This window comes from Homo sapiens, chromosome 1 (assembly GCF_000001405.40).
Source record: "Homo sapiens chromosome 1, GRCh38.p14 Primary Assembly".
Taxonomy (NCBI): domain Eukaryota; kingdom Metazoa; phylum Chordata; class Mammalia; order Primates; family Hominidae; genus Homo; species Homo sapiens.
In genome coordinates, this window is record NC_000001.11 from 215,890,507 (window position 1) to 215,904,269 (window position 13,763).

Here is a 13,763-nt window from a genome sequence, read left to right on the forward strand (position 1 = left end):
CTGAAATCAAGCTATTTCTGACAATTTGGTAATGTATCCTATTTGAAGAGAAATCCCTAAAAAAAACCCTAAAACCAGCAGTCATGGTATAAATCACACTTTCCGTTTCAGTCTCTTGTTAGCTTTCATTTTAAAGCTTTCTTAAAACCACTATGCCATTTCTTACTTTTGCTCTCTGGTATACAGTAGCAGTAGCAATTATTATATCAAAATGGGGATACAGCTCCTTTCTTATTTATGCTTGTCATCTAGATTTGGCTATTTCCCAGAGAAAAGCAAGTACGAGTCTTGTAAGATATCAATGTTGTTTTGAAATCTAAAAAAACCCCCAAATCCCCTGAGATTGGGTTTCGTAAAATCAATGGTGGAGATTCAAGTCTTTAATGTCTAACCTTATCTCACCCTCTCTTCCCCAAAGAGAGTAATATACACTTAAAAATCAGAATATTTTTTATTAGGGTTTTCATCTGGGTCTTGCATAATTATTCCTCATATGTGAACTATCAAACTGTGAGCATCTTCAGGGAAAAGAAACAACAATGATGCAGTTTGTTCTCTGTGATTGGGGGATAAGGCTTTTATTTCTCCTGCATATGATGATAGTATTATGGGTGAAACATCCATGATAATGAGATGAACTTGCACTTCAAACCCCCACAATACACAGCCTTTTCTTAAAGATGATCTCTTATCTTGGGAAAGGAGAGGTGTTCAATTTCAATTTCATGATTTGTTTCCCCCTTAAAAGCCAGCATACATTTTATTAGCTTCCTGCTCTGGCTGAGTAGATTCGCTGCTCTTGTTGCAGAAGGGTCCTTTAACTTGTGTGATTCTGGAGAGGAAGCTGAAAGCAGCTTAATTAGCTCCTTTGGCTAGGGAAGTGTTAAAACCTGACTCCTGGCACTCTTTCAATTTAGTGCTTTAAAATGATAAGCCGAATCATCTAATTCTATATACAAATCAACTGGCCTGCAACTGCATGGTTGAAAGGGCCACCACAATTATGTAAAACATGAGTAATAACTATAATTGGGGTAGTTTGCTAATACAATAAAAAGCTCTGAACATGAGAAAAGTTATGCTCACAGCAGTAGCTATCACTTTCTAAAGTAAGAATTCATGGATGAAATGACATGAAAAAGATGGTTATAAAATTTTAATGGAATGATAAAAGGCAAAAGTCAGCCTCTCAGCTGAATTCTTAAAATCTCTATATATCACAATCAGCTCCTTAACTGTAAAATCAATGTGGAGTATAACATGTTGTCAATGCGGCTGTCACTGGAGGGGAGACTGGGAGTATGACAGGCACACAGCTCAGCTGGCCGGTGATGAAAATACAACCTTACAGCGCTCTCCGTGGGTGTAATTGTTTAGAGAACTCCCTCTTGGAGCTGGGAACAGGAGCATCCTTTCTGTCCAGATCACAGACTCATATTTCAAACCATTTCATTGCAACATTAATAACGGAAAGTAGTTTCATTTTGGCAAATGAAATTATCTTTTATGGGAAACTATTTTGCTCATCAGCTTCAAAAGTTCAGCCCCAGCCTAAAATAGAGTAATAAAATTGTTAACAGAGGAATCTGCTTATTTAGTTTTATATTCAGGTGTGTATATTGGAAAGGGTGTGTGCGCACACACTTGTTTGTATTTGTATACATGTGTATGAATACCCAGTTTGAATGACTCACAACTTGAGTGTGTATATAACTTTCAGTGGTTTTGTGAGTCTTCTCTACTTGTTTGCTATTCGAGTTACCCATGACTGATCAGTCAGTTTTCTTGTTACATTCTCATTGTTGCCCTGAAGCAATATTTTACCATTCTAATTAAAGCCTCGCTCAGTTTAAAAACTCTTTTTGGTAATATTAACTCCATAAATGAGTATCCCCTAAATTTACCAGTGAATTAAAAATCAAAGTGGCAAATATATGGATGTATAATTATATAAAGCAATATATTGCATGCTAATTGTCAATGTAGCCTTTTGTTATTCACTACTGATATGTTAACAGAATAATGGATTCTATCTTGTCTTTAATCATGAATTCTTTTATCGATTTATTATTTATACCCCAACTACTTCCCAAAAGAATTTTTGACAGCTCATAATAAAAGATCCAAATGTAAGAGGAGCAATAAAATAAAGAAATATTATTAATCTTGTGATAATAAAGAGGGTACAACAGTTATTTCTCAAAACAAAAATTAAGAATGGGCACTGCAGTTTTGCAGAAAAATGAACTTTCAGCCTGACTCTGATAAAAAAGGAAATGGGCTGTATAACATAAGTAACATTATTTAATGAAAGAAACCTCTGAAGGCTAAAAGGCTGTTGGAATTGGAAGGACATTATTTGATAGTTTGCAAATAGGAGAACCAATATTCGGGAACTATTTTTCTCTATTTCTCCTGATATCAGGAGAGTATTGTTTAGAAAGAATGTTTCAACCTCTAGAGCTGGGGCATATTGTGGGGTGAATCGTAGTAGATGCATCTGCGATAATTTGGTGCAGAAAATAAAATGCATTGATGTGAGAATTCATGAAGTCAGGAAAACATCCTAAAAAACCTAAAGGTCATCACATTCACTCCTTATATTTGGGCAAAACTTATCTGAATTATTCCAAATATAGCAAATCAACTCTGTTTACAGGTACATTATCAAAATGAGGAAGACAACAAGATTAAATGAATCTATGTATTGTTTTAGCATTGCAGAATGTTCTTTTATAGGCAGGTGCTATAGAAAATGCTATAGAAAATGATTATGGTAAACATCCATCTTTTTGTTAATAACCAGCAGTTTTTAGATACTTGACTCTCTAAGAATTTAAGATTTGAGAATTAAAACTAAACTCATGCCATTAAATATCAACCTGTGGCAATTATCTTTGAATGATCTCACATAGTCCACTGAGAGTTTTCAAATATTGACAATTTAACTTTTTCAAAGCTAAAGAACAAGAATAGTTTTTAAAAATAGTGGAAGGCCAGCAGATAGCATTTCTGGATAATGAGAGGATATACTTTTCCTGCTAAAGTGTCTTGCATATAATACACCCTCAATAAAATTTAAGTAGTGATAATAAGGCAGCTATGATAAAATTATTTTTCATTAATTTCTTAAAGTAAACATAAAAAACTTGATTTTTCATTACTTTCACCTGCAGTCTTCAGCTGTAAGAAACACAGACATTACAAGCACTCTATATTTGGAAGAGGAGTGTGCTTTAAGTGCCCAGGGGAGATTCGAGAGCTTAAGTGGGAAATTGAGGCAAGGTGGATAGAATTTTTGATTAATCAATCCATCCTTTCAAAGGATTCCGTATTGGTCATTTTTGGCTTGAATAAGTTCCTTTTGATCTTACATTATAAAAATAAAATATAAAAATAATTGTAAATATTTGAATTTGTTAATTCTGAAAATTCAGGAATTTGTGGAGAAAATCTATGCAACAGAAAACAAAGTATGTAGTGAAAACATGCAGAACCATTTTGCTCTCAAAATCAGAAGATTATAAATGTTATTTTTGATCATGGGTCTTCTGTTCTATGCAAAATAGATACCTGAATTACTGTTTGAAAGGAAAAACATGTCAGCAATCAGAGGTTAGTACTTAAGGCAACTGGAAAAATATTTGGAATGGAGAAAGCAAAATAGTTGTGTAGCACTACTGAAACTTGTAGTTCCTCTTTCTTCATTAAATAAAATGTACTCATATAAATATGTTCCACTCTCATTTAAAAATATTCCGATTTTCCTTGTGTTGCGTAGAATGATTTTAAGGATGCAAGTGAAACTTTAAATTCTAAAATGCCCTAAACATAAGATGTTTGTCATGCAATATTAGTTTTAAAATTTCAGTAATCTTAAGGGCATATGTGCACTTAAATGATTCGGAAGTCCTACTCTAGAATTATCTTGATCAATTTATCAAATTTTATACCACATGTTTCCTTCCTCTTCTGTTACACGGTCTCAGAGTATTTTACTCTTATTACAGGTTGTGAGAATAAAAACAGGAAAAATGGTTTTGTTTTAGAATTCTTTCTACACATCCCTCCCCTTCATTCCGAATAGCACATGATTTGGGGCTGGCAGAAGCCTCTCTAACTAGAACATTCGTTAACCTAGCCAAGACAGCAGCCAATATTGAATCAGAGGGACAGCCAGAAGCCTGCCTCTGACCAAGGTAAAAAAATGAGAATCACTTTTGGGATGTCCCTCTCTTACATTCACCTCTTGTCCCCACCCTCCTCGCCTCATACTCAGAGGCTGGAACGACCGACAGGACAACCTGAGAGTCCCTCTTCAGGTCTCATATGTCAGTGCTCTCTTACAGCAATTGCTTTCCAGCCTTACCCTGAACAAGTGGAGATGGTGTAAATTTGAACTTTGATATTAAAGTGCACTCCAAATATAAATCATTTCCAATTCCTCTCCTGGTCTTCTCTGGGTAGGCTTTCCTGGCCCTCATGTTGAGGGGCCATGCCCTTCCTCTGAGCTTGCTCTCATGGACAACTCAGCTCTTTCACTCTAACTATGGTTTTACTGTGTGTGCTCCTTGCCAGACAGAGGAAATCTCAAGGGAAAAACAGTATCATATCCATCCTTGCAACTTTCATATCTCTTTTAGTCCCTGGTACACAGTAGGTACACGGTAAATGTTTGCTTGATTGAGTTTTTGTGGATTTACTTCAATCAAACTCTGCTTTTAATCAGTACTTTGAGTAAGAATTTTGGGGCACCTACTCTATATCAGACCCTTCGCCAGACACTGGTGATAGAAAGATAGTTGAGACAGATCCCTAGGTCTTGAGACGTTACAATTCAGAAGGGGATATTGATGATTCACTAGTAAACACAAACCAAAATTCTAAGGGAGCAACAAGAAGGAAAACTTCACAGAGGAAGTGACACTTGAGCTGGGGCTTGATGAATGTGTAGAATTATGTCAGGCAACAAAAGAGGAAGAAGCATGTTCTGTTAGATCTAGATTTCAATTGACCTCACATTGCCTTTCTGTCTTACTCCAGAAGAACCTCTGTTCCTTTGTAAATTACTGTGAGTATCTGAAGGATGGATGAAGGTTGCTGAGGGGAAAAGTAAAGCAGGACCCAGGCAGTAAGACAATTTCCTTCATTGCCCTCTCCTCTGTTCACAGTGCAATTATAAATGTGAAAAAATAACAAGATGTAATGCAATGAGCAAATATAGCATGGCAATGGTACAGTCTTGTGTCACCTAATGACAGGAATACATTCTGACAGATGCACCATTAGGCGATTTCATTGTTGTACAAACATCCTAGAGTGTTCTTACACAAACCTAGATGGTATAGCCCACTACACAGCTAGTTTGTGTGGTATAGCCTGTTGCTCCTAGGCTACAAACCTGTACAGCATGTTACTGTACTGAATACTGTAGGCATTTGTCACACAATGATAAGTGTGTATCTCAACACAGAAAAGGTACAGTAAAAATATGATATCATCATCTTATGGGTCCACCGTCATATATGTGGTTCATCATCAACTGAAATGTTGTGCAGCATATAACTGTACTTAAAATATCACTGTGTCATCAAAATAATGAACAAATGAAAAGTTGTCTAAGTAAACCTACAGAATAAACTGTTCGAATTCTACAGGTTTTATGCAGTAGTGCCTCTTAGACTAGTGGTTAAAAATATAAATATGGAATTTTAAACTACAAATTTGGGAAACGATCAAACATTTTTAAATATATGACAACTAAATTGTTAAAATCTAAAGTGAATTCAAGTTTGGGGTTTTTTTTTTTGAGGGTAGGGAAGTGATTTTTAGAAAATGATTTCAATTTCATTAGTTGATCTAATTGCTTGTGTATGCCATATATGTTTGTCATTAAAATGACTGAAATTAGATATTCCATATTTCAATCTTATTTCCTGGGAAATCTTAAGAGAAACAGATTATCTAACTTTTTTGGGCTGGGGAATCCACAATTTTAAGAAAAAGTAGGTTAATTCATAGTTAACACAAGGCAGGATTTCGGTAGGCAAAAGAATACATCCACATTTAAGCTGAGGTTTGAAAAACTTGCCCTCCCTGCCAACTCTAATTTCTACATGCATGTACTATACAGAAAACAATTGCAAACATACGAGAGAGAAGGAACAATCATATAATCAGGAGTGATGGTTATCTTTGTTTTCAAGATATCAACATTTTCAGCTGCTAGGCAAGTGCCTTCATTTTATTAATCACATGCTCCCAAGCCTAACATAATCTTAGGACATTTTTGCAAGCTGTGGACATGCCAGGTGCTTGGACTGCCAGCAGCACATTTAAAAAATAATGTGTTGTTTGTATTTATCTGGTTGCAACCAGTTAAACACTACACTGACCAAATTGGCTGGAACAAACATCTTTTATTAACACACATTTAACAGGATTTAAAATATTCATAGGAAATGTGCATTATGATTATTTGGCATCAGCACACTAGATTTTTAAAAATGCATGGAACTGGATATTGGTGGCACACTGGTGTAAATGACAAATTATTTGAAAAAAAAATCTATTAAAATTCTTCACATCCTGTTTCCCTGTCCATGATAACTTCTCTGCACCCATGCATTTGCTTCTCTGGCTGTAGCTCATTGCCTGCCTAGATTTCTCTTTGTGGTTTCACCTGTGTCACAGGCTTGCTGAAAATCACTGTCTTGAAATGTCACACTAAAAATATTGCCATTGGTGACCCATTTTGGCACTGGAAAGCTGTGAGGCTGTGGCTGATGCAGAAAGGTGCCTGTTGATGGTATGGAATTTAAATGTGGGCACGAGGCGACTTCTCTGTTTCGTTCTGTAAGACGATATGTGAAATTTCTACATTGAAAATTGCACTTTGGGTTGGGTGAGGTGGCTCACACCAGTAATCCCAGCACTTTGGGAGGCTGAGGCGGCTGGATCACCTGAGGTCAGGAGTTCGAGACCAGCCTGGCCAACATGGTGAAACCCATCTCTAATAAAAATATTAAAAAAATTAGCTGGGTGTGGTGGTGGGCATCTGTAATCCCAGCTACTTGGGAGGCTAAGGCAGAAGAATTGCTTGAACCCAGGAGACAGAGGTTGCAGTGAGCTGACATGGTGCCACTGCACTCCAGCCTGGGCGATAGAGTGAAACGCTGTCTCAAAAAATGAAGGAAAGGAAGAAAAGAAAGAAAGAGAAAGAAAGAAAGAGAGAGAAAGAGAAAGAGAGTGAGAAAGAAAGAAAGTGAAAGAGAGAGAGGGGAAAGAAAGAAACAAAGAAAGAAGAAAGAAAGAGAAAGAAAATTGCACTTTGGTGAGCAGGAGGTGCTGGTCAGGATCAAGTAAGAAGTGTGATTCTGGCATGGAGCTGTCAACATGGGTGGTTTTATAAGCAATGCTTTGTAGCCTTGACAGAAAAACTGCTTGTGCCCAATGCCAATCACTCAGTCTTTGTCAACTCAATTGCATATCCTTTCAGAGATGGCATCCATCTCCACTGACATCTAAAATATACAGTACCCTGTCACCATGTCTCAGGTGCACTGCTAACGTAACCTGCAGGTACACATGGCCTCCTTCCAGTTCTTTGCTATGTATGTGACTTCACAGTGTATACACAAAGCAGAGGAAGGAAGAGTTCATTCATTTTGGGGAACGGATTTAAACACAAATAATGGTTATGAGTTGATACCTGCTATTTATTCAAGTGTTACTAATTCTTACTTAAGGAAAATGAAGGGTTAATACCACTCACTTTAAACTCAAGCCCTAAATACCACAACAATGGAGGGTCTCTGGGTATGAAAATTCTAACGATGTGTATGTGTGGTCTATAAGGCTTGTTTTATAGTAAAAAGGAGACCAAAGGTAAGTTTGCTCAACAAAGGATGCTATGCTAATTGGTATTTTACAATATTTTGGACTTTTGCTTATTTATGTGCTACCTCCCTGCCTATAGATGGCAGGTCATGGCCCTCATTCAGTGAAAATTGTGGGGAGATTACCGCTGAGGAAGTTTGAGTGTTGCCCTTTCTCTAGGAGAATAAAGAATGCTGTGCCAAAAAAAAAATGCTTTCTCCCTTCTTCCAAGCATTCTATTGAGCCATCACCTCTGCAGTGGGTTGAATAATTATTTTTGGCTAATCTTTATTTAGTGCCATCAAGCATGCTGCTATATATAAGAAGGAGATTACAAATCTATCTTCAGTTGTTTCAAATGTTTCTTCAAAAATCTATTTTGAGTGTGAAGTCTTCAGTCCATAAATCTGGTGATCATGGTGTCCAGATTCCCCAGAGTGTATGTAATGTTCCTCCTAAAAGGTGGTGAATTAATGCTTTCTGGACTTTGGGTGCCATTTATCGTACTGTGCTGATAATTTACTAAATGATACCCTTGAGAACAAAAACACTGAGTGTCCCCTTGCAAAGTAGCTAACTTTCTCCCAGGGAGTAATTACGAATTGGAAGAAATGAATTAAGTAACATACATTATTGCTCATAAAGGTGGCTTTTTTTTGTAAAAATAAAGTCAACTTTAAACAAGATAGATTGTACTGATAATGTCTAATTTGATGTCTTATCTTCACTAAAATAATGCAATTAAAGGTATTATAGAAATAAAACAATACATTTAATAAACAATTGATATTGTTGCAAATACCATACTTTTGTGTTAATATCTAGGCTTTTGAAAGTCACTTAACGTTCTCATTGGATATAGAGCCAGCATGGCAATGGGCCAGCAGAGAACATTGCCTAAGAAGCCTATGATTAAAAGACTTCACAAGATTAACTCAAAAAACCTAACTGTTCAAAGATACAATGTCCTTATTCACTCTGTGTAGCTTGATTTAATTTCTAACTTTTCTTTAAAAACCCCTCTACTTTCATATATATGCTTTTATAGAGGTAATTTGTATAAAACCAAATGTTATAGTCATGTATTTATTCCCAAATATAATCTAGCAAATATATGCAAAAATAACTTTTTAGTGAACAACTAGAAAATTCTCTTTATTGGTTGAATAAAGAAATCTTAATCCACCTTTTGTAATATACTGCTATCAGATTATACTTCTCTATGCTGAAGGCTGTCTTTGGGGTATGAGTAGAAGCAGGAAAATGAAACCTGTTTCCAGGAACAAGTATATGTAAGCAGCCTCATGAAGTAAGGTCCATATTTCATTTTCTTCTGCCTGCCAGAATTTCTCCGAAACAGAGAACATTCAGTCATAAAGCAGAAGATGACAACCTTTCTCTTGCAGGGCGCTAAGATGTACCCTGAAGGATAGAATGGGGCCATATCATAATTTATAGTGAATTACTTTGTCCTGTCTGTAGGCCTAACCCTCCAACCCTCCAAGACCACATTATTCTTCTTTCTGGAGAGACTGACCACCTTTGCTCACTCTCTTGCCCTAGAAAAGGTTATTGTCACTAAACAACAAGTAAATAAGGGAGGCTCATTTCTTTGCTTTGGAAAAAATTGAAGACATTTTAAGCTCCCTATGTAGAAGACATTTGGCTGTGTATTGTTCAGACCACTTACTGTCCTCTGCGGTCATGAATGGAATCCAAGAACTATGTGCACTGCCAAATCCATTGGAGGCAACCAACCGAAACATATACTCTGTGTACGGTTGGAGATCACTCACTTCATAGCTTAACGATGCAGAAGGATTGGAAAATAACCTGTATGGGAAATAAATGTCAATTAGGAAGTTTTCGACATTCAAAGAAATAAAAGCAAGTAAATTTCTTACTACAAAAAAATTTTAGAGGATGTCAACATACATTTAAGTATTGTAATTTTCTGCCATCAAATGAGATCTCTTTTAAAATAAGTAGCCATTGGCTGAGTCTGTAATCTTGTGTTTATACGAGATGTAAATCCTAGTAGTATTGAGACTGACTGCCATGTGGATTTGTAGAATAGGTATTATAATTTGTTAGCGACAGTTCAGACATCATTTTGTTAGTTTCATTGCTTTATGTAATGCATGTGCTCATGAAAAGTTTCAGTGGGAAGAAATCCTACTTTAAATGCTACATAAATGAAAAATAGATATTTTTGCAAAGCAAATGATTATCCTCTAATTGTTTGGGGTTTTTTTGTACTTTTAAAAGGTAACCTATATTTTTTGCAAATGAGAACTGACCTACTCTTCAAAAATGTTATGTCTATATTGTATAACCCAGCTGATAGAATGGACAAAGTAGAATGCTCACTCTAGAAATCCATGGGTGGAGTCGCCAGACCTCATCTGGAGTTGGTATCTGGGAGAGCCAGGAGCGTTATTACGAGCTGGTGTAGACCAGACAACCTGAAGACTGGTTGGAGTGGCAGATGAAAGCCTGGGAGGCAGCACGCCATCTGGAGCTGTCGAAAAACACAGATGAATTAGAGCAGAGAAAACTGTGGAGAACATATGCTGGATGGAATCGAAATGCTCCATATACTGGAAAAACTGTTCCTCAGGATCAACAACAATGTTAAACATGGTCCATTTAATTTAACATTTTCATTCCTGAACTCCTGTACTTCCTTATTGTTCATTTCAACACAATTACATTAGTATTTCAGTCTTAAAAGCCGGCCCCCAAACAGCAAGACAAATGAATATGCAGCACATTCCCACCTGTACTTCTGTTTATCTAATTGAAAACATGGAGGGAATTTAGTGAAGCAAATATTAAAGTACCTTTTTCATTTAACTCTTTGTTCAACAGACCAAACAATTGAACACTGAAGCAGTCCAGATCTCATATTCTTCCCCCCGATATCATCCATTGCTGCCTTAATCACACCACTACATGTGAACACAATGGCTTTCTTTTCCTTTCTTTTTTTTTTTGGAGGAAGGGAAGTTAGCTAAAATTGTATTTTTCTGGAATGATAAATAAACATGAATGGCTGAATACAGTGTATTCCAGCCTTAATGCTCACCCATGAAAATATAAAAAGTAAACTTTTTTCCCTATGTGTTTTATACAATTACCCTTCTCAGAGTTATCCCTTCTCCTGCCCTTACTCAATTTTGCAAGTTGGAACATGCATACCACTTTTTCTAGTCTAGTTGAGTCTCCGGCAAATCTGTTCTGACTTCAACATACCTGCTTGGTACAATCTACCAGGGAAATCTCTTTGAATGGTTCTAGAAGGCCTAACAGGAATGTGTAAAACTAAAGCCTATTCTACTAAAAAAAGTTGATAAGATGACTCTGGTTATTTAATTAATTTTTTCCAACTGGTATAACTCAAATGAGCCTGTCATATCAGCTTGTTCCAAATCATATCAGTTTGTTCCAAAGCTATTCAGAAACTTGAAAGCAAATTCAGCAAAACTCTGCCTTTAGGAAAATGACCTAATGACTCCGAGCCTATATTTTCTGATCTCTAAAGTAGGTATAATATTTTTCCTTTATAGAATTGTTGTGAAGTTCAGAGATCATATAAATAAAGCACCTGATTTTAGACCCTGGTAATTATTAGTCACTAACTATTATTACTATTATTACATTGGACTGACCTGAACTTTCTTTAGCATAATTTAATTGCTAGTATAATATACTTTGTTGGGAACATTCTGATTATTGTAATATAGGTTCCTAATGACCACAAATTACCAGAGGCCATTGGTGAAGAAGGAGAAGTGATCAAAATAATGAGAACAAATGAAATATCAGGGTCCATTTTCAACTTTATTTTATACATAACCTTGTGTAGTGTGTCAATTTTACATACTCTCCAATTCAGAAGAAGCTGTCTGTGAACAATGAGGCTAATGAATGACCAGTGATGAGAACAGAAGAATTAGATTACATGTTTCATCAATCTGCTGTAATGGGTTTGAGTTCATTAATAATTCATTCATTTGTTCAATAAACATTTATTAAGGCTCCACTCTGTGCTAAGCAGTACTCTTCATGTGGAAGAAGAACAGCACTGAATAAAATAGACACCACTCCTGCCCCTAGGTAGCTTACATTCAAGTGGAGGGAGCAGGTGGTAAACAAATGAATACTGTGTATACAATAATACCAGGTGGCCATAAGTGCTTTGTAGAAAAATAAAGCAGTGTAAGGAAAGAGAAGGTAAAAAGAATTGGGCAGTTTTAGTTACTAGGTAACAACTTCAATTCGATGGGAAGATTATAGGAAGAAAATGCAATTCAGTGATATTTGAACAGAGACTTCACTGGCATGAGGGAGGTAGCCATCCGAATGTCTGGAGGAAGAGTAATCCAGCCAGAGATAGCAGTACATTCAAAGGCAGTAAGGAGGAAAACATTCTGGTTGTGTTTAAGGAACAGTGTGGCTAACACGGACTAAGGAGGAGAGGGAGAGGAAAAGTCTTCATAGGAGTTGTAGCCTTCATAGGAGTTGTAGGTCAGCATATATGTGATCTTTAAAGGCTGAGATGGTGAAATAAACTAGGAAGTGAGTGTTGATAGAATGAGTATAGAAGAGGTCTGAGAACCAAGCCCTGGAATCCACCAAAATGTTGAGGTCAGGAGGAGGCCTCTCTAGGAAAGGATACTGAGAAGGAATGGTCAGTGAGGTAGGAGAAAAACTGAGAAGGTGCAGACTGGAAGCCGAGTAAAGAAAGAAGGCACATGAAAAAGGAAGAACGTATCAGCTGTATCAACTCGGCTGAGAGTTTAAGGAGGAAGAAGACTGGGAGTTGAAACTTTGCATTTGGCCAAGTGCAGATATTTGATAACTTTGCAAAGAGCAGATGCAGTGCAGTGCTGGGCATAGCAGTCTGAGCTAAGGTTGTGAAGACAACGAGGGGGTAAAGGGCAGATACAGTGAGCTTAGACAACACTTAGAGGGAATTTATTCTAAAAGGGATTAGAAAATGGGGCAGCAGCTAGAAAAGCTCATGATATCAAAGGAAGGTTTTCTAAAGACTGGAAGATGTTGCAGCATATAGGCATGTTTGTTGGAAGAATCTAACACAGATTAGGGGAAATGATACCGTAAAAGAAAGAATTGCCAGAGCAAAGTCCTAGTGTGGGAAGAGAGAGGTGAGCCAGTGCACATTTGAATCAACTGAGAGTCAGTGCACACTGGCTGCCAAACAGAGCAGGGATAGTTCTCCCATTGTGCAAAAGTGAATGCACAGATGAAGATGTAGAGCAGTGAGTAGATTCAGTGATGGAATAATAGCAAAGATCTCCTTTGATGATGCGCAGTTTCTTAGTGAGCAAAATAAAAGCAAAGGCTCAGTGACAAATTGGGTGGATGAAATGGAGGCTTGAAGAAAGAGGAAATGATATGAAATAATTCTCTCAATTAGTAAAAGTGTGGCATGACTAGAAAGTGCAAGAAGATTGCTGTCCAGGGCCAACTATCCACTTCTTACCTTCACATTTTTGGTTTGAAGGACATTCATTGCTAAAGGCTTTTTAATTGATATTTTTATCTATGAACACAAATGGTTTTTAACAATCATAATTTATTTGACATATATACTTTAATTGATTTATAATAAGTGCATACATAGAAAAAAGAGCACTGTGAAAACACAGGCAAAAAATAAAGTGCAAAATGCATACAATGTATAACATATAAAACCATGTCTCTCTTTTGATTATTTTTGTCTAATTTTTCTACATCAAGGAGTATAATGTAATTGAAAATCCAAATTCTGAATTTCAAGTCATTAGCCCTGAAAAAATTAGTTTTTAATATGCACACAAAACCCCTTATGTGTTAAAAACTACATTACCTTTCTATTA

At 36.5% G+C, this 13,763-nt stretch overlaps 1 protein-coding gene across 1 annotated transcript in view; it reads right to left on the reverse strand.

Annotated features, from left to right (window-relative positions):
• The window catches only part of USH2A (usherin), an 800,558-nt gene that overhangs the window by 267,616 nt on the left and 519,179 nt on the right, over nt 1-13,763 (reverse strand). Inside the window, exons 39-40 of the mRNA NM_206933.4 lie at nt 10,249-10,399; nt 9,569-9,711 (exon numbers count right to left, since the gene is read on the reverse strand). Coding sequence (NP_996816.3) covers nt 9,569-9,711; nt 10,249-10,399 — 294 coding nt within the window. The remainder of the gene's footprint in view (nt 1-9,568; nt 9,712-10,248; nt 10,400-13,763) is intronic.